At 44.1% G+C, this 19,875-nt stretch overlaps 1 protein-coding gene and 1 pseudogene across 1 annotated transcript in view; one reads left to right on the top strand and one right to left on the bottom strand.

Annotated features, from left to right (window-relative positions):
* Window positions 1–11,973, top strand: part of GLDC (glycine decarboxylase) — a 113,263-nt gene extending 101,290 nt beyond the window's left edge. The window contains exons 22-25 of the mRNA NM_000170.3: window positions 4,294–4,389; window positions 8,204–8,376; window positions 9,652–9,732; window positions 11,280–11,973. Of these exons, the coding sequence (NP_000161.2) occupies window positions 4,294–4,389; window positions 8,204–8,376; window positions 9,652–9,732; window positions 11,280–11,423 (494 nt within the window). The 3' untranslated portion in view covers window positions 11,424–11,973. The remainder of the gene's footprint in view (window positions 1–4,293; window positions 4,390–8,203; window positions 8,377–9,651; window positions 9,733–11,279) is intronic.
* On the bottom strand, window positions 2,087–2,346 carry RN7SL25P (RNA, 7SL, cytoplasmic 25, pseudogene; annotated as a pseudogene).

The following is a 19,875-nucleotide window of genomic DNA, read 5'->3' as shown; positions in this document are numbered from 1 at the left end:
AATCTTGACCTCAGGTCTTCTGCCTTTTTTTTTGTTTTTCCATCAGACAAACAGCGACTTTGCCTGCAAATACCTGTCCCTGCGGAGGTTTCCAGGTGGCCCTTGCTGTATGGGTGGGCAGGGGCCTCAGGGGCTGGGCCCTCACATCCTTGGCTCACAAGTGACCCTGCTCAGTCCCGCTTACCTGACCTCATTCTCGGGGAAACCTCATTCTCGCTTGAACTACAGGGAAACAGCCGGGAGGTTTGATTCTGTTAGTCATGTTCTGTGGATTTCAGCTAAAAGGCTTGACCAAGCATTGATTGCCCAGCAGAGCTTTCCAGAGTAGTTACCCAGTGAGTTCATTTATTCCTCAGCAGCCGCCTTGAGGATGGGGGATAAGTAAGGTCTGGTCCCTTCTCTCAAGGAGGGTTTTGAGCAGCCCTATTTTTTCACAGCACACTCCCATATTGTTCTTACCCTCAGAAGACAATCAACATATGGGGGCGGTGGTTCCCACTTAGATAGCCACCCAACGTTTACCTTGCTTTTCCTTCATCCCCCCCCCTCCTGTCCTCCTTGCCCCTTTCACGTGGTACCTTCTCAGCTGTAGTCACTGTTAGGTCCAGCAGAAACACCTACTCTGTTAACACGAAAAGTTGGTGCTGAGTGGTTTATTCAGTTTCCACTTGATATCGCCCCAACATTGCCCTATAGCAGGTTTGTGTGTCCTAAAAGCTGCAAAGAACATCTTAGGATCTGGCTTCTGACAGCCACCAAGTTGAAATTTCATCCCTTTCAGGGCTCACATAGAGATGGAGAGAGATGCTGGAATTCCACCGCAGTTTCTATTTGAACGCAATAGAGTATGGATTTAGAAAATAACATCTGAACCTCATTTAGAAAATGGAGCTCTTCCTAAACCTCTTGGCTATGGTGGGGACCTCTTCAGATGGCACTGTAGTATTAGCAGTGCTGTGTTGGGCTTGGCTTGACGGTGCCTTTCAGCTATTACTGAACCTCTGCTTGGAAGACTCTCCTCTTGCGCTGCCAGCAAGAGTGCCTCCTCCCCCACTGTGTCTCTCCCCTCCTCCCCTCCCTGCTGTCTGGTGTCATTCCGAGCAGTGAGCTTCCATTAGCCTTCGTCCTCCAATCATTGTCACAATCAGGGCATTTTGTTTTGTTTAAGAGACGGTCTTGCTTTATTACCCAGGCTGGAGTACAGTCACATTATCATAGCTCATTGCAGCCTCAACCTCCTGGGATCAAGCGATTCTCCCACCTCAGCCTCCCAAGTAGCTGGAACTACAGATGTCTGCCACACACCTGGCTAATTTTTAAATATTTTGTAGGATAGGGTCTTGCTTTGTTGCCCAGGCTGGTCTCCAACTCCCAAGCTCAAGCAATCCTCAGCTGAGCATTTAAGAGTCCTGGTATTAATAGTTGATAAAAACTTAGTCTAATGATTTTCCCCTTGAACATTCCACTTACTATTCTGTTTCAGCATTTTTTCCCTATGTTTACCTACCCATGAATAGGATTTTCTACCTCTTTTTTTTTTTTTTTTTTTTTTTTGAGAAAAGGTCTCACTCCGTCACCCAGGCTGGAATGCAGTGATGTGATCTCGGCTCACTGCAGCCTTGACCTCCTGGGCTCAAATGATTCTCCCACCTCAGCCTTACACGTAGCTGGTACTACAGGCAGGCACAACTGCACCTAGCTAATTTTTTGTTTTTTTGTAGAAACAAGCTCTCACTATGCTGCCCAGGCTGGTCTCAAACTCCTGGGCTCAAGCGATCTTCCTGCCTCGGTCTCCTGAAATGCTGGGATTACAAGTGTGAGCTACCATGCCCGGCTGAATTTTCTGCTTTTGAATCATACTCCTTACAGTTTATTCCCCATCATTGTTAGAAAGCATGTTTTGCCTGGGCGCAGTGGCTCACGGCCTGTAATCCCAGCACTTTGGGAGGCTGAGGTGGGGGGATCACTTGAGCCCAGGAGTTTGAGACCAGCCTAGCCATAGTGAGACCCCATCTCTACAAAAAATACAAAAATTAGCTGGGCATGTGGTGCACACCTGTAGTCCCAGCTACTCTCAGGAGGCTGAACTGAGAGGATTGCTTGGGCCCAGGAGGTCAAGGCTGCAGTGAGCTGTTATGGCACTACTGCACTCCAGCCTGAGTGACGGAGCGCTCAACTGTGTCTCAATTTCTTTTTTCCTTGAGACAGAGTCTTGCTCTGTCACCAGGCTGGAGTGCAGTGGCATGATCTTCGCTCACTGCAACCTCCGACTCCCGGGTTCAAGCAATTCTCCTGTCTAAGCCTCCCAAGTAGCTGGGACTACAGGCATGCGCCACCACGCCCAGCTAATTTTTGTATTTTTAGTAGAGATGGGGTTTCACCACGTTGGCCAGGATGGTCTTGATCTCTGGACCTCGTGATCCGCCCGCCTCGGCCTCGCAAAGTGCTGGGATTACAGGCTTGAGCCACCGCGCCTGGCCCCTATTTCAATGTTTTTGAAGTTTTTTTTTTTTTTCTTCAAGCGTGGTTTAAAAATATGCAGTTTCAGTATATTCAGAGTCTTACGCTCTTTATAGTTTTATTTTCAAACAAAACCACTTCTTTTTTTTTTTTGAGATGAAGTCTCGCTTTGTCTCCCAGGCTGCAGTGCAGTGGTGCCATCTCGGCTCACTGCAACCACCACCTTCCAGGTTCAAGCAATTCTCTCACTCAGTCTCCCGAGTAGCTGGAACTACAGGCACCCGCCCCTACACCTGGCTAATTTTTGTAATTTTTTTTTCGTAGAGACAGGGTTTCACCATGTCGGCCAGGCTGGTTTTGAACTCCTGACCTCAAGTGATTTGCCTGCCTCAGCCTCCCAACGTGCTGGGATTACAGGTGTGAGCCAATGAGCCCAGCTCCACCTCTTTCATGTTTATTCATTCTATAAGAAGCAGAGCAGTTCGTAGACTGTCTTCAGGGGCTATTAATTACTGGAGCTATTCTTCACAGGCTTGAGAAGTTATGCTTGCTCTGAGTCTCTATAAGTGGATTCATTTTTGCTGAGAGTGAGGAAAGTGGGTTAAGAAGAAGGAGTACATCATTATCTCATGAGTAGATACTTTCCTGGAAGGAAATTCATCAGTTGGTGGACCGTGGAATTTGGGAAGCCCCGGAGGAATATTGGTCTATTTATTAAAACGCTGACTTAATGGTTTATTCCTGATGATGGTTGTGTGGTCAGTAGCTCATTCTGGGGAGCTACTGGCAGCCTGGACCTAGAGAAGAAGCCTGTTTATGAACTACAGGTCGAATATCCCTAATCTGAAAATCTAAAACTTTTTCTAAAAATTTATATTTATTTTTTTGAGACAGGGTCTTGCCCCTATTACCCAGGCTGGAGTGCAGTTGTGTGATCGCGGCTCACTGCAGCCTCGACTTCCCAGGCTCAGGTGATTCTATTTTTAGTAGGGCTAGGGTTTGGCCATGTTGCCCTGGCTGGTCTGGAACTCCTGATCTAAAACGATCTGCCCACCTCAGCCTCCCAAAGTGCTGGGATTACCAGCATGAGTCACTGTGCCTGGCCTGAAAATCCAAAACTTTTGGGTGCCCACATGAGGCTCAAATAAAGATCTGTAATTTCAAATAAGGGATATGTCATTGGTAGAACAAAGTGAACTGGGTCGCACAGACTTTGGCCTCATTAACTCCTTGTTACTTACGGTATACTGTTTGACGTCGCGTATTTCTAATTCTTTGTTTGCAGCCTGAAACCAAAACATCAAAAGGTCCTTCAAAGAAACATAAAATTCTGTATGTGTCTTATGGATATATGTTTAATATATCCATACCTATATATACGCAAAAGTAATTATTTGATGTTGAGGGTAAAGTTGCTGAAAAGTGTCAATGGCTCTAGAAATATTTTGTATAAAAGGATCAGGACTATACAACACATTTAACTGTTGCAAGTAGATTTTATGTCCGCAGAATAGAAATAATCTCATCCCCAGACACCTCCGGTCATATGTTCAGTAATGCCCCCCACCTGCCATTAGCCATAATCAGGTTCACAGGTGTGTAGTGAGCTGAAGATAAGACACATCGGCACAGTGTGCTAAACATTTTTATTTGTAATAAGACTAAATGAAACCTTTATTGCCAATAATAAACTTACCCGGTGCCCATGGCTTCTTGGTCCTCGCTGATACACATAAAAAGCTGATGCACTTATTTATTAAATTACTTATTCATTTGTTTGGGTAAAACAATAAGCTGATGCTAATCTTGGGCTGAAACAACTTTCCTGAACAGGTTATGTGGGTCATGAATTTATTTTGGACACGAGACCCTTCAAAAAGTCTGCAAATATTGAGGCTGTGGATGTGGCCAAGAGACTCCAGGATTATGGTAAGTGGCTTTTGACATTCATGCCGCCGCCCATGCTGGCTGTGGACCACTTCCTAAAGCACAAATGGAAAATGCAGGCACCACAGTAAACTGATCTGGGGGATAAATGGGGAGCTCAGGGTTCTTGGCAACCTCCAAAATAATAGAGAAAAAAGTTTGCTTATGACTGCACTGGTCCTGCCCTTCAGAAGATATTAAAATATGCATCTTGAATCCATTAACAGCCAAGAAAAGTGTTTAAGATTAAAATTAAAACCCCTTTGAGTTGCAGTGAGTGTAGTGGTAAAGGAGACAGAGCAAGTAACCCATCGAAGTGGTAGAGACAAATGGCATTGGAGTTTTATAGCCACCTCTGTCATGGCGTAGCTGTTTCAGCTGCTTCTAGAGATGAAGAAATAAGTGTAGTAGTTTTCACAAAGAAAATGCAACTTTCTTTGAAGCATTTTGAAAGACACGGACACTTTACCTGTGCATTAGTGGGTGTTCATTCAGCTCAGCTCACTACATTTTCCTAGTGAACAATGTTATTAATATTAAAATATTAAGACCATATTACTTTTTTGGGGGTTGGGGAGACAGAGTCTCACTTTGTCGCCCAGGCTGGAGTGCAGTGATGTGATCTCAGCTCACTGCAACCTCCACCTCCTGGGTTCAAGTGATTCTCATGCCTCAGCCTCCCACGTAGCTGGGACTACAGGTGCACACCACCATACCCAGCTATTTTTTTATATTTTTAGTAGAGATGGGGTTTCACCATGTTGGCCAGGCTGGTCTCAGTCTCCTGAGCTCAGGCAATCCACCCACCTCGGCCTCCGAAAGTGCTGGGATTACAGGTGTGAGCCAGCACGCCCAGCCAATATTACTATTATAATAATATGAAAATGATAATAATATCAAGGATCTTTCAATTCTCAGAAAGGCTAAGTTGGGGAGAACATTGCCATTCAATGGATATGGAGTCCTCTCTGAGTTTTAATGACTTGTTTTTGGAAAAAAAGAAAAAAATCTTTTAAATTTAATAGTTTCACTACTGCATCATAATGGGAATCCCATGTGTGTGACTCACTCCTCTCTTGAATGAATGATCTTATTATGCAGTTACACTGATAATAGATGGGAAAGCCAGAGAAAGGCTTCATTAATGAAATTACCAATCCCATCCTCAAGATCTCTGCTTGGCAACTCTTGTAACCTGACAGTAGAACTCCTTTCCCCTGACAGCCTCCCGGCTAGCGATTGGGTAATGGCCGACTCAGGAAAACACACTCACTTTGTGGATGCCTTGCCTACTTCACACATCTAACTGCAACAGCATTTGCAAGGAGAGAGAGGAGGGGCTCACAGGGAGGTGGTAACTGAAGTCACCACCCAGTGTTTCTGAATCATGTTGTCTCCTGACCTCAATGTTGTTTTGAAGATTGATAGAACCGTTTCCACACTTGTCCAAAAGCCCAGAATTGTCCAGGTGCCTGGCACATAGTAGGCACTCAACACATAGTGTTAATAAATGAGAGACCAAATGAATAGCTAAGTCGAAAAACAATGAACATGACAACACAGTTTCCAGGTCTTAAAGCATAACCGCTGAATGTGAATTTTTAAGGAAGAGAGCTGATAATCTGTATATTTAACACGCAGCTTCTGTGTGAGTCTTTTCAGGCAATTTTGGGGCATACTGCCTTACCCAGCAGTTCCAGGCTAATTATCAGACCAATTATCAGAATCACCTGGCATGTTTTATGACTCATAGATTTTTGGACCCTACCTTGGACTTCCTGAATCAGGGCCCAGATGCAGGAATTTCTTTTGCAAGAACTTCTCAGGTGGTTCAAAATATGGGGACCACTACAGCAGGATATGTTGGACTGAATTTGCTCACACATGGAATTAAGGGCAGACGTGATAGGTAATCAGCTTGTTCTCTTAAAAAAAAAAAAAATCCCTGTCTGGTTTGAGTGACAAAGGTGTATGCATTTACCAAAACTCATTAAATGGTACAGTTAGGATTTGTGCATTTCACTGTAAGTTTTATCACAAAAATATGTGAACAGATACTGAATTCTAGTCATGATATATATGCTGAAGGGTTTAAGAGTGAAGTGTACTAATGACTGCAGTGTACTTTGAAATGCGTCAGAAAGTAAGACGGATGGCTGGATGAGTAGATGTGATAAAGCAAACAACAGCATTGTAGAATCTAGGTGGTGGGTATATGGGTGCTCACCTACAGTCCTTTCAACTCATCTGGATGTTAGTGTTTTTTTTTTAATAGAGACAAGGTCTTACTCTGTCACCCAGGCTGGAGTGCAGTGTTGTGATCTTGACTTACTGCAGGCTCACCTCCTGGATTCAAGTGATCCTCCCACCTCAGCTTTCTAAGTAGCTGGGATTACAGGCACATACCACCACACCCAGCTAATTTTTGTATTTTTTGTAGAGACGGGGTTTTGCCATGTTGCCCAGGCAGGTCTCAAACTCCTGGGCTTAAGCAATCCGCTGGCCTTGGCCTCCCAAAGTGCTGGGATTATAGGTGTGTGAGCCACAGCACTTGGCCTGAACATTTTTAAATAAAATGTTGGTAGAGAATGTTTGAAATCATGCAGATGTTACTTTAAAGTACTCCATGTAATAATGATGCTCACCAGAATTTGAGAACCACTGCACATTGGGGCAAGATTAGTTCAGAGGTGTATCAACCTGGGAGTTGTTCTTCAGCTTTTAAAAGTTTCATAGGCCTGGTGTGGTGGCTCATGCCTGTTATCTCTGCATATTGGGAGGCAGAGACAGGCAGATCGCTTGAGCTCGGTAGCCCGGACAACATGGTGAAACTCTGTCTATGCAACAACAACAAAATTAGCTGGGCATGGTGGCGTGCACCTGTAGTCTCAGCTACTTGGAAGGCTTAGGTGGGAGGATCACTTGAGCCCAGGAGGTTGAGGCTGCAGTGAGCCGTGAGTGTGCCAGTGCACTCTAACCTGAGCGATACAGCAAGACCCTGTCTCCAAAAAAAAAAAAAAAAATGCTTTACAGAAAAATTATAAGAAATGAAAATGTTGTTTTTGATTTTTGTCCTGGAAATCTGTCTCTTGACTACATACCTTGTTGCACTACCTTACATGTGAAAACCTTTGGAAACAGAAACACACTGAGCCTGTGTTCAATGTAAAGGCAAAGGCTTTCCACATACTGGCCAAACTTCAGTTTCCTTATCATACAAAATGGGGACAATAAGATTTGCTCCAGAGTCTTTAACACTTGTTATCTCATTATTTAACTTTTGATAAGCTATAATATTTTTATTTCTCTTAATTGCACATAATACATGATAATTACTGAAAGACTCTAAAATACAATCGAAGTGAAAGAAAAATCCCAGTCTCATTTTCCGGCCATATTTAGAGTTAACATTTTATGTTTTCTTCAAGGCATCTTCCCTCATAAAATACACATATAAGTACTTTGTCCTTTTATTTATATATAGAAATGGGATATCATTATGTGGCTTGCTTTTTTCACTTAATATTTTTGAATGTTTAGCCAGTTTAACACATTTATGTACTTTTGAATGGTTGTCTATTTACCATATAGGTGCTCTGTAAAATTTGCTTATCTGATCCCCCATTGTTGGATATTAGGTTGTTTCCTAAATTTTTCTTCTATGAACAGCACTGAGATGAGTCCCCACATACATACATTTGCAAATGTATCTGATGATTTTCTTAGGATAAAATATAAGAAGGGATACGAACTTTTCTTCCAAACTGGGTAGGCCACTGACCTTCAGTGAGGCAAGTTCTCCTGTCTCCCTTTGCAGGATTTCACGCCCCTACCATGTCCTGGCCTGTGGCAGGGACCCTCATGGTGGAGCCCACTGAGTCGGAGGACAAGGCAGAGCTGGACAGATTCTGTGATGCCATGATCAGCATTCGGCAGGAAATTGCTGACATTGAGGAGGGCCGCATCGACCCCAGGGTCAATCCGCTGAAGGTGCGTAGGCCCTGGAACATTGCTTGAAATGTTCCTTAAACTAGAAAATGATGTCTGGACAGTGTACCAGCAACTCCCGAACTCTCAACTGAGGATGATACTCTTCCCTAGAATAAGGTAATTCTTCTGAGAAGATGCAGTTGTTACTTTGAAGTTTCCATCGTCTTGAACAGCATAGCAGTTACTCAAGGATGATGTGGTTGTGGAAGCTGTCCACAGCTGTCTAGTTGGAGAATTTGTAACATTCTGCATCTCTGTTTGATGTACTGTAGTGAGATTATGGCATAAATAAAATTTACATATTCACATCACAAACTCTGTACAAGCACACATTCTTATATTAGAGCAGTTATCTCTGAGAAAACTGGATTGACATTTGGACTGGATGTTACAATGTTTATGCCCCATGTTGGGGAAAAGTTGGTTGGGCATTACTCTGCCGCTTCCAAAACATGTTAATTTTACATCTGGTCAGAGTCCTAAGTTTCTTGTTAGTCCAGATATTAAGCTGGAAGATCAGGAGTGGAGAATACCATGAAGGCTGTGGTTGTGTCTTCATGGCTGTAAGCCAGAGAACAAGTCTGATATGACTGCAGCAGCTGGGGCAGGTTTCCAAACTGCCTACCTGTAGGAGAGGGCAGGGACCAGTGACTTGCAGAAGGCAGGCACCTCTCTAGAGGTGAGTTCACAGAGTCATGGAGGCATACAAGATGATTATGCTTACCACCGTTTATTACTCTTTTCTCTCTGAAGACACCTGCTTCTTTCAGGATTTAGGCTATTTTTTTAAATGGCAATAAACATTTCAAAGAGCATAATAGTGAGTTATAATACAAGTGGATAATACCACTCATATGATGATATCAGATTTTAAAATGAGCCAAATTATGCTATATGCAGTTTATTAACATATGCAGTAATAGTATAAAAGCATGATGAGAATGGTAAACACCGAATTCAGAAGAGTGGTTAGCACTGGGATGGGGATATACAGGCAGCACCAAACGTGTAGGTAATTTTTTCTAAAAGATGAAGCAAATATGACAGAATGCTCATTAGACTTTACTGGGTGGTGGATGTGATGATTATTACCATAACGTTCTGATATTTAAAATATTTCACAATTATAAATCACATTGTACCCCCCTAAATTGAAAGAAAACAACAGCTTTCTCTGCCTGGGCTCCTGTCAGAAGATTGACGGTTGAGGTGCAGGGTAGGAGGAGAAGAGAGTGTATTGCTCTGACCCCTCCTCTGTCCGTGTCTCTGTCTCAGATGTCTCCACACTCCCTGACCTGCGTTACATCTTCCCACTGGGACCGGCCTTATTCCAGAGAGGTGGCAGCATTCCCACTCGTAAGTTCTCTGAATCTGAATGTGCCAGCTGGGAAGGCATGGGCCAGCTCCTATCCTGACGGGTGTACGCTCTTAGCCTCATGATTACAGAAACCATATGTGGGGCACCTTGTGAAATAAGGGTCTTGAAGAGGAATGAGGAGCAAAGAAATTGGCTTTCAGAGGCGAGGTCACACAGTATCAACCACAGATCTGGGAACCCATAGGGAACAGAGTGGGGGAAAACTGAATACGAGTCCTGCCCAGTGGACCAATGTGTTTCCCTCCACTGTGGGACAGGGAGATGGCGCCCAGTGCAACCTTCCTTTCCTTTCTGATTCTTATATGGAGGAGAAGGTTCTGTGTAGTCTGTTTGAGTGAGGTAGGGAGAAGGCTAAAAATGTGCCAAATTATGCTATGTGCTGTTTATGGATCTATGCAGTAATAGTATAAAAACATAATGAGAATGGTAAATCCTGTATTCATTGGAGAGGAGAGGAAACAAAATGATGCTTTTTTTTTCTTTCTTTTTTTTTTTTTTTTTTTGAGACGGAGTCTCGCTCTGTTGCCCAGGCTGGAGTGCAGTGGCATGATCCTGGGTTCACGCCATTCTCCTACCTCAGCCTCCCGCTGGGACTACAGGCGCCTGCCACCATGCCCGGGTAATTTTTTGTATTTTTAGTAGAGACGGGGTTTCACTGTGTTAGCCAGGAAGGTCTTGATCTCCTGAACTCGTGATCCGCCCACCCCGGCCTCCCAAAGTGCTGGGATTACAGGCGTGAGCCATCACGCCCAGCTGATGCTTTTTTTTTAATCGTTCAAATTTTTATTTTAATACACAGTATGAGAAATTAACTTTTTTTTTTTTTTGAGATAGAGTTTTACTCTTGTTGTCCAGGCTGGAGTGCAATGGCACCATCTCGGCTCACCACAACCTCTGCCTCCCAGGTTAAAGCGATTCTCCTACCTTAGCCTCCCAAGTAACTGGGATTACAGGCATGTGCCACCATGCCTGGCTAATTTTGCATTTTTAGTAGAGATGGGGTTTCTCCATGTCGATCAGGCTGGTCTCGAACCTCTGACCTCAGCTGATCTGCCTGCCTTGGCCTCCCAAAGTTCTGGGATTAAAGGCACGAGCCACTGCGCCCAGCCGAGAAATTAACTTTTAAATCAACTGAATTGTATGGAAAATGACATAGCAAATAAATTAGACCTATGTTAAAAGAGAAGGTCAGCTAAATATCCAAACTTAAGGATATAATGGGCAGATAAACATAGATTCCAAAGTCTTCTTTAAGCAGTTGAAGTCTTTCAAACACAACTTTGCTATAAACTGGTCCAGATATCAACAGCACATAGGGATGCTTAACAGGGGTGGTGATCAGGGACACGCCTCCTGGGAAATGCCTCTTTTTTTTAAATGGTAATGTAGGGTTGGATTTTAGGTTCTCAGAATATTTGCTGGGCTGATGGTGTCTTAGGTTGTGGGACTAGCATTGCCACCTCCTTTGCCCTAAGAGAAACCTCCCAGAACATCTCACAGCATTTCCATCTTTTGTCCTTTGCAGCCCTTCGTGAAACCAGAGAACAAATTCTGGCCAACGATTGCCCGGATTGATGACATATATGGAGATCAGCACCTGGTTTGTACCTGCCCACCCATGGAAGTTTATGAGTCTCCATTTTCTGAACAAAAGAGGGCGTCTTCTTAGTCCTCTGTCCCTAAGTTTAAAGGACTGATTTGATGCCTCTCCCCAGAGCATTTGATAAGCAAGAAAGATTTCATCTCCCACCCCAGCCTCAAGTAGGAGTTTTATATACTGTGTATATCTCTGTAATCTCTGTCAAGGTAAATGTAAATACAGTAGCTGGAGGGAGTCGAAGCTGATGGTTGGAAGACGGATTTGCTTTGGTATTCTGCTTCCACATGTGCCAGTTGCCTGGATTGGGAGCCATTTTGTGTTTTGCGTAGAAAGTTTTAGGAACTTTAACTTTTAATGTGGCAAGTTTGCAGATGTCATAGAGGCTATCCTGGAGACTTAATAGACATTTTTTTGTTCCAAAAGAGTCCATGTGGACTGTGCCATCTGTGGGAAATCCCAGGGCAAATGTTTACATTTTGTATACCCTGAAGAACTCTTTTTCCTCTAATATGCCTAATCTGTAATCACATTTCTGAGTGTTCTCCTCTTTTTCTGTGTGAGGTTTTTTTTTTTTTAATCTGCATTTATTAGTATTCTAATAAAAGCATCTTGATCGGAAGAATGCCTTTCTCTTGGTGTACTTTATAGTTTTACCACCGTTACAACCTAGATTCAGTGGGAGCTGAAGGGCAATGAGAACACCCAACCCAATAGCCATTGTTACATCATCAGTTTTGCCTTCGACTGGCTGAAGAAACAGTTGTCTTGGTCAACAGTGAAAACCACTTTGACCCTTTTTGTTGGAACTGAGTTAGAGTGCATGTAACTGTACTCCAGCTATGGAAGGTCAATCAAATAGCAATTTATCTTTTCTCATTTAAGTCCAGAGGTAATAAGCCAAGCACTGGTGCTCCTTCAGTTTTCCCGCTCTGCCCTCCTTTGCATAAAATTTTCATCCGCATGGTCTCAAGAAGGCTGTTGCATTTCCAGGCGTCTGACATACCCATTCTAGTTAGGATTAAAAGGGAAGAGCAAAGGCCAGGCGCGGTGGCTCATGCCTGTAATCCCAGCACTTTGGGAGGCTGAGGCGGGAGGATCACCTGAGGTCAGGAGTTGGAGACCAGCCTGGCCAACATGGTGAAACCCCATCTCTACTAAAAATACAAAAAATTAGCCGGGCATGGTGGTGCATACCTGTAGTCCCAGCTACTTGGGAGGCTGAGGTGGGAGAATTGCTTGAACCTGGGAGGCAGAGGTTGCAGTGAGCTGAGATTGCACCACTGCACTCCAGCCTGGGCAACAGAGTGAGACCTTGTCTCAAAAAAAAAAAAAAAAGAAGAGCAAAAGGCAGCTTCCACCCAAATCTGCTTCTTTTGAAATGTTTTCGAATATGTTCCACTCAGTAACTGCTGCAGCTGGCCAAAATTGGTTCAAATCTCACTCCCAGCTACAAGAAAGTGTGGGGAAGTCTGTTACCTGGGCATGTGACTGCCCCAAACAAAATCAGGAGTATGTTAATTTTTAAAAAGGTGGGGAGAATGGGTTTTAGGTTGGCAACTAGCATGCCTGCCACAAATGACTTTGCCTTAGAAGTAGCAAATGCTCTAATCATGACTACTTGGTTTCTTGCATGGCTGCTTCCTCCAACATTACTTAGTATCCCTAGGCTTTAATGCTAGTGATCTGGGTGCTCTATTGAATTATCTGCAAGTATTCCACTTATTTTTATATTTAAAAAGTTTATACAACAATTTACTTTAGCCTAACAAAGCAGTACAGAAGTGATGGGATTCACGGTTCCTTTTTTACACAATAATTAAATGATATCTATTAAATAGTGCATCTCAGGTATCAGGCAATTTTTTTTTTTTTTTTTTTTTTTTTTGAGACAGAGTCTCATTCTTGTCACCCAGGCTGGAGTGCATTGGTGCAATCTCGGCTCACTGCAACCTCTACCTCCCAGGTTCAAGTGATTCTCCTGCCTCAGTCTCCTGAGTAGCTGGGATTACAGGTGCCCACCACGAGGCCCAGCTAATTTGTGTACTTTTAGTAGATACGGGGTTTTGCCATGTTGGCCAGGCTGGTCTCGAACTCCTAACCTCAGGCCTCCAACTCCTGACCTCAGCCTCTCAAAGTGCTGGGATTACAGGCGTGAGTCACCATGCCCAGCTTGGTATTCTTTTAAGTGTTTGAAATACTACCTCATTTGACCCTCACAATGTTCCACTCTTACACATGTGGGGAAGGGTATGAAGAGATGCCTAAAGTCCCACTACCAGCCAGTAAGAGGGAGGGGCAGAATTTGGACCCAGCCTTACTGGCTCCAGTACCTATCAGCCAAAACAGGATACCCTGCTGCCATGGCAACTGCAGACCTGGGGACTCTGCCCTTCCTGAGTTGGAAACCCTGCTTAGTGCAAGCTAGCCATCAGGCCCTGGGACGGCCCCTTCCTAGGAAGGACAAGTGTATGACAGTAAATAATGGAAGCAAACAGCAATTCTTTTCTACTTACTTTACACAGTGTTTGTAGTTGAGTGCCAAGGTTGTTTCCATGGCTATTATCCATTACTTGCCCCCAGAACATAGCAGAGCCAAACATAGGCGATTAAGAGTCAAGTGAATCACTTGTCCTTCACTATTAATTGCTCATGTGTTACCTAACACTTGTGCCAGTCTTTCCCTGCCCCGGATCTTATCCTGAAAGGCACTGCCCCTTGAAGCCCTGTCCCCAGTCACCTTGCTTTACTAGTCATTCTCTGTATTTCATCCTAGCCATTTTCTGTATTTCATCATTTCAAAAATACCTTCTTCATATCCCCATGAAATAGGCTTTCTCTGTTATCTTCTATCTTGCCCCTTGGTTTGTTTCCTCCTGTACCCTGGGCACAACTGGTAATTTTTTTTTTTTTTTTTTTAACAGAGTCTTGCTCTTTTGCCCAGGCTGGAGTGCAGTGGCACGATCTCGGCTCACTGCAAGCTCCACCTGCCGGGTTCACACCATTCTCCTGCCTCAGCCTCCTGAGTTGCTGGGACTACAGGCGCCCACCACCACGCCTGGCTAATTTTTTGTATTTTTAGTAAAGGCGGGTTTCACCATGTTAGCCAGGATGGTCTCGATCTCCTGACCTCGTGATTCGCCCGCCTCGGCCTCCCAAAATGCTGGGATTACAGGCATGAGCCACCGCGCCCGGCCCACAATTAATTTTTTAATGTTCACTCAGTTTTTGTCTCTTTGTTTTGGTCTCTCTAGCAGAGACCGTATTTTACCCATTGTTGGATTCTCAGTGCTGAGCCGGGGCCTTCCAAGTAGTATGTGTTCAACAAATAAAAAGAAATATGGGTCGGGTGTGGTGATTCATGCCTGTAATCCCAGCACTTTGGGAGGCCGAGGCCCGTGGATTGCCTGAACTCAGGAGTTCAAGACCAACCTGGCCAACATGGTGAAACCTCGTCTCTACTAAAAATACAAAACACTAGCCGGACATGGTGGTGTGTGCCTGTAATCCCAGCTACTCAGGAGGCTGAGGCACAAGAATCGCTTGAACCCGGGAGGCAGAGTTTGCAGTGAGCCGAGATCACTCCACTGCACTCCAGCCTGGGTGACAGAGCAAGACTCTGTCTCAAAAAAAAAAAAAAAAAGAAAAAAGAAAAGAAATATGGTGGGCTGGGCACAGTGGCTCACCCCTATCATCTCAGTACTTTGAGAGGCTGAGGTGGGTGGATCACTTGAGGTCAGGAGTTCAAGACCAGCCTGGCCAACATAGAGAAACCCTGTCTCTACTAAAAATATAAAAATTAGCTGAGTGTGGCAGCACGTGCCTGTAATCCCAGCTACTCAGGAGGCTGAGGCAGGAGAATCACTTGAACCTGGGAGGCCGAGGCTGCAGTGAGCTGAGATCGGCCAATGCACTCCAGCCTGGCGACACAGCCAGACTCCATCTCAAAAAAAACAAAAAAACAAAAAACTGAATGATCTCAAAGAGGCGCATTGCCATGGAAACCCATATTTCCAATGTCTGCTGTGAGCAGTTCTGTTAAAGATATGTACAAAATGCCAGAGCTTGAAGATGGGGCCTCTGAAATGGCTTTGTGTAGAGTGTGTCCCCTAAAATTTTTCTGTTTATCATGGAAAAATATACATAATATATATTTGTGTATATATATACATAATATATGTATATATACATAATATATATCATATATACATAATATATACATATACATAATATATATCATGGAAAATATACATAATATACATAATATACAAAATATACATAATATACAAAATATACATAATATATATCATGGAAAAATATACATAATACAAAATGTAGCACTTTAACCATTCTCAGGAACAATGTATGAGTTAAGTACATTCACAATGTTGTGCATGTTTGAGCAGAGGTGGTTTTTTTTAGTCAAGTGAAGCAGCGGGAGTGGAGAGGAGCAGTTTTAAGACTGGGAGCCTGAGGCCATCATGCGCACCCATCCTATGAACTGGGTATCCCCTCTGCATCCTCACAGCCCTGGGCCCTAGCCACTTCCACCTGGGACCCACCACAGGCCACTGAGAGCAATCCTCACCTGGTAGCCTGGTGTGATAAAGAGCAAGAGCCCTGGCCCCATCTGAAAACCCATGAGACCTACGTGCTCCAGGAAACAGCCCAAACCCTGGCCAACGTCTGACCAACAGTTCTGTCGCGAGCCCTGCAAATCACTAAAAGGGCTCACGATTCAGCTTCTAAATTGTTTGTCTCAGATGGATTCATGCACCCCGCAGTGGCACCTAAATCCTTTTTCTAAATGAGGGGCACTAGTTTTGTCATTGGAAACCTGATGCCCCTTATCCAGATAAAGGGTTGCCTCTCAACTTGCATTGTTCACATTTCAGGGAACTTTCCATAACTCTAGGCCTTTAAGGGATAAGGCTGGTCTTAGTTAACCTTGCATCTTTTATGCAAGTCTTACCATTTTAAGAGAAAGCCCCCTTTTCCCTGGCTTTGGCCAGGGATCCTACAGTTAGTCCCAGACTGGCGCTTTGGCCTTGAGCTCTGATCTGCTTGGCTCCTTGCTCCTGCCAGCACTGAGTCAAAGAAGTCTCTCCCTGACCCTCCACTCTTCCCCAACCAACTAGGCAGCAAGATTGCTGAACTGAGTGGACCACATGGGAGCCCAGATCTGAGACAAGATATAGGGAAGGGAGTGAACATCCCAGGGATTAAAATGTCTGAGAGGTTGAAAATTGTGTTCAGAAGGCCAGGTGTGGTGGCTCACACCTGTAATCCCAGCACTTTGGGAGGCTGAGGTGGGCGGATCACCTGAGGCCAGGAGTTTCAGACCAGCCTGGCCAACATGGTGAAATCCTATCTCTACTAAAAATACAAAAATTAGCTGGGTGTGGTGATGGGCACCTGTAATCCCAGCTACTTGGGAGGCTGAGGCAGGAGAATTGCTTGAACCTGGGAGGCAGAGGTTGCAGTGAGCCGAGATCACACCACTATACTCCAGCCTGGATGAGAGAGTGAGACTCCAACTCAATAAATAAATAAGGAAAACTGTGTTCAGAGAGCAGCAGCCCCTGAGAGTAGGGCTGGTGGCAACATCCCTGGATCATTACAGTATCCCAGGATGGCAGGTTGAGGGGCTGGAAGACCACCTTTTATGGATGCGGGTCACTATCCCTCTATGTAAGATTAATGCAGAGCATGTTTGTATGTGTGAATATTATTTTCTTTTCCTTACTGTGGCCTTTTTCTTCCTTCTCTTCTGTTCATAACATGTCATTCTCATCCTCTGCTGCTCTGAGTGCTTCATCATACCCTCTCCCTGCTTCTCCTCTAGTCCTGGTTTGAGCCTGCCTCCCAGCTGTTGCTTTTCACCTTGCCAAGCTCTCACTCCCCAGCCTTCGGACACGTTCCTTTGGTCTGGAGCTTTTCCCACCACTCCCCACCTCCCATACATACAACTCCCTGGGGATGGAGATAAGTCTCTGACATCTCTGTTACAATTCTGCTGTCAAATCATCCATACCAACATTTGTTTGAATATGTTGTGAATTTGGGGCAGGGGGTGATCTCTGATGCCTAGAACTGGAAAGGGTTTTCCATAAAAGCAGTACTGCTAAGTTATGGTTTAATAGGCTTTTGTAGGGTAATCTAGTATCCTACCCTTTTCCTCCATATCAAGCTTGTCCAGCCCACAGCCCATGGTCTGCATGTGGCCCAGATGCTTTGAATGTGGCCCAAGATAAATTTGTAAACTTTCTTAAAACATTATAAGATTTTGACCGGGTGTAGTGGCTCAACACCTGTAATCCCAACACTTTCGGAGGCCAAGGCAGGCGGATCACCTGAAGTCAGAAGTTCGAGACAAGCCTGGCCAACATGGTGAGACCCTGTCTCTACTAAAAATACAAAAATTAGCCGGGTGTGGTGGCACGTGCCTATAATCCCAACTACCAGGGAGGCTGAGGGGGGAGGATCGCTTGAACCCAGGAGGTGGAGGCTGCAGTGAGCCAATATCACACCATTGCCCTCCAGCCTGGGTGACACAGCGAGACTGTATCTCAAAAAAAAAAAAAAAAATTATAAGGTTTTGCTTTTTTTTTTTTCTTTTAAGCTCATCAGCTATCATTAGTGTATGTTATGTGTGCCCAAGACAATTCTTCCAATGTGGCCCAGGGAAGCCAAAAGATTGGACACCCCTGCATATCATTGTTCCTATGGGAAGTATTTGTACAAATTCATACACACAAAAGATTATTTCATTTTCAACCTACATCAAGAAAAAGATAATGGCTTTCATTCTTTCACAAATTAACTTCTGAAACAAAGCTAGGGATTGCATGCAATTTCTTCTGAATTCAGCAGAATCTATGGAGGACTAAAAAAAACCTACAAATTCCTTTTTAAGTGGAACGGCATGAAAGGAAACAACTTGGTTGCAGTAAGAGGTCTAGGGTTTTCAGAACTGACACAAGTGAAATCTTAGTGTGCTTTTCATCTGTTTGTTCCATTGTTGCATTTAGTTTAACCTCACTAGTAAAATATTTGTACAGTTCTGGGTGTAACATTTTAAATTTCCTACAAAAGAGTTGTGAAGAACATTTGAAAAATCAAAACAAAAAACTCAGTGAGACTCAGAAGATTTAAGTGCATTAAATAACAACCAAAGTCATAAACTCCCAAAAACAGGGTGGAATCCAACAGCTCCAGGAGTGAGGTCAGTCATCCTAAAAAAGTGCAGACTTCCCCCACCGGTGCTGCCACTGGGAACTTGATCTAAAAGTGCTACTTGCAGCAGAAGTAGCAAGCAGCCGAAGTTGAACTAGATGCAGACTCTTTCTTTAAAAGTCTGGCATAAGGAATGGGGAGAAAAAAAAAAGATAACTTGTTTGTGTTCAAGACATTTCATCCAATATGAACTACAAAGGAATATCAATGTTATGCAAAATACAAAATCTAGATGTTTTTATTGGTTAAAAGAAGCTTACTTCATTGCATTCCAAGATACAATGAAGAAAATTCTATCCATGGACAAGGCAGTTGGGGTAGCCTATTAAATAAACTTGCAAATAGCAAAGGAGTGAGTATAGTCTCTGGTATCAGACATGTTGGAGGGTGGGAATGGAGGGTTAGCTAGCAACACTTTTTTTTTTTTTTTAAATAAAGACTCTATCAGCCAGGTTGGAGTACAGTGGCTCAATAAGGGCTCACTGCAACCTTGACCTTCCTGGCTCAAGCAATCCTCCTGCCTCACCCTCACAAGTAGCTGAGACTACAGGCACATGCCACCACGCCCAGCTATTTTTTTGAATTTTAGAAGAGATGAGGTCGTACTATGTTGCCCAGGCTGGTCTCAAATTCCTGAGCTCAAGCAGTCCTCCTGCCTTAGCCTCCCAAATTGCTGGGTTTACAAGTGTAAGCTACTGCATCAGTACAGCAACACTATTTCTGTATTTTGTCAAAAAGACAGCTGTTAGCTTGGGACAGTGTCTGCCATTCATAGAAGTGCCGTCAATCTCAAGCCTAATGCTACTAAGCATGAGGCTATTTCGGGAGAAGAGGCTGAAGGAAGGTGCTATAGTTAAGCAGGCTCAATATAGTCCTTAAGCAATTATTTCCCAGAAGTAAGTTGCATTTAAGAATAAAGCTTGGGGCTGGGTGCGGTGGCGCACGCCTGTAATCCCAGCACTTTGGGAGGCCGAGGTGGGAGGATCAAGAAGTCAGGAGATCGAGACCATCCTGGCTAACACGGTGAAACCTGTCTCTACTAAAAAAAAAAAAAAAAAAAAAATACAAAAAATTAGCTCGGCGTGGTGGCGGGCACCTGTAGTCCCAGCTACTCAGGAGGCTGAGGCAGGAGAGAACAGTGTGAACCTGGGAGGCAGAGGGTGCCATGAGCCGAGATTGTGCCACTGCACTCCAGCCTGGGCAACAGAGTGAGACTCCGTCTCAAAAAAAAAAAAAAAAAAGACTGAAGCTCGGTCAGGCACAGTGGCTCACACCTGTAATCCCAGCA

The sequence above is a fragment of the Homo sapiens genome, chromosome 9, assembly GCF_000001405.40.
Source record: "Homo sapiens chromosome 9, GRCh38.p14 Primary Assembly".
Taxonomy (NCBI): Eukaryota; Metazoa; Chordata; class Mammalia; order Primates; family Hominidae; genus Homo; species Homo sapiens.
The sequence above is the reverse complement of the archived record's forward strand: the minus strand, read 5'-3'. Positions and strand labels throughout refer to the sequence as shown.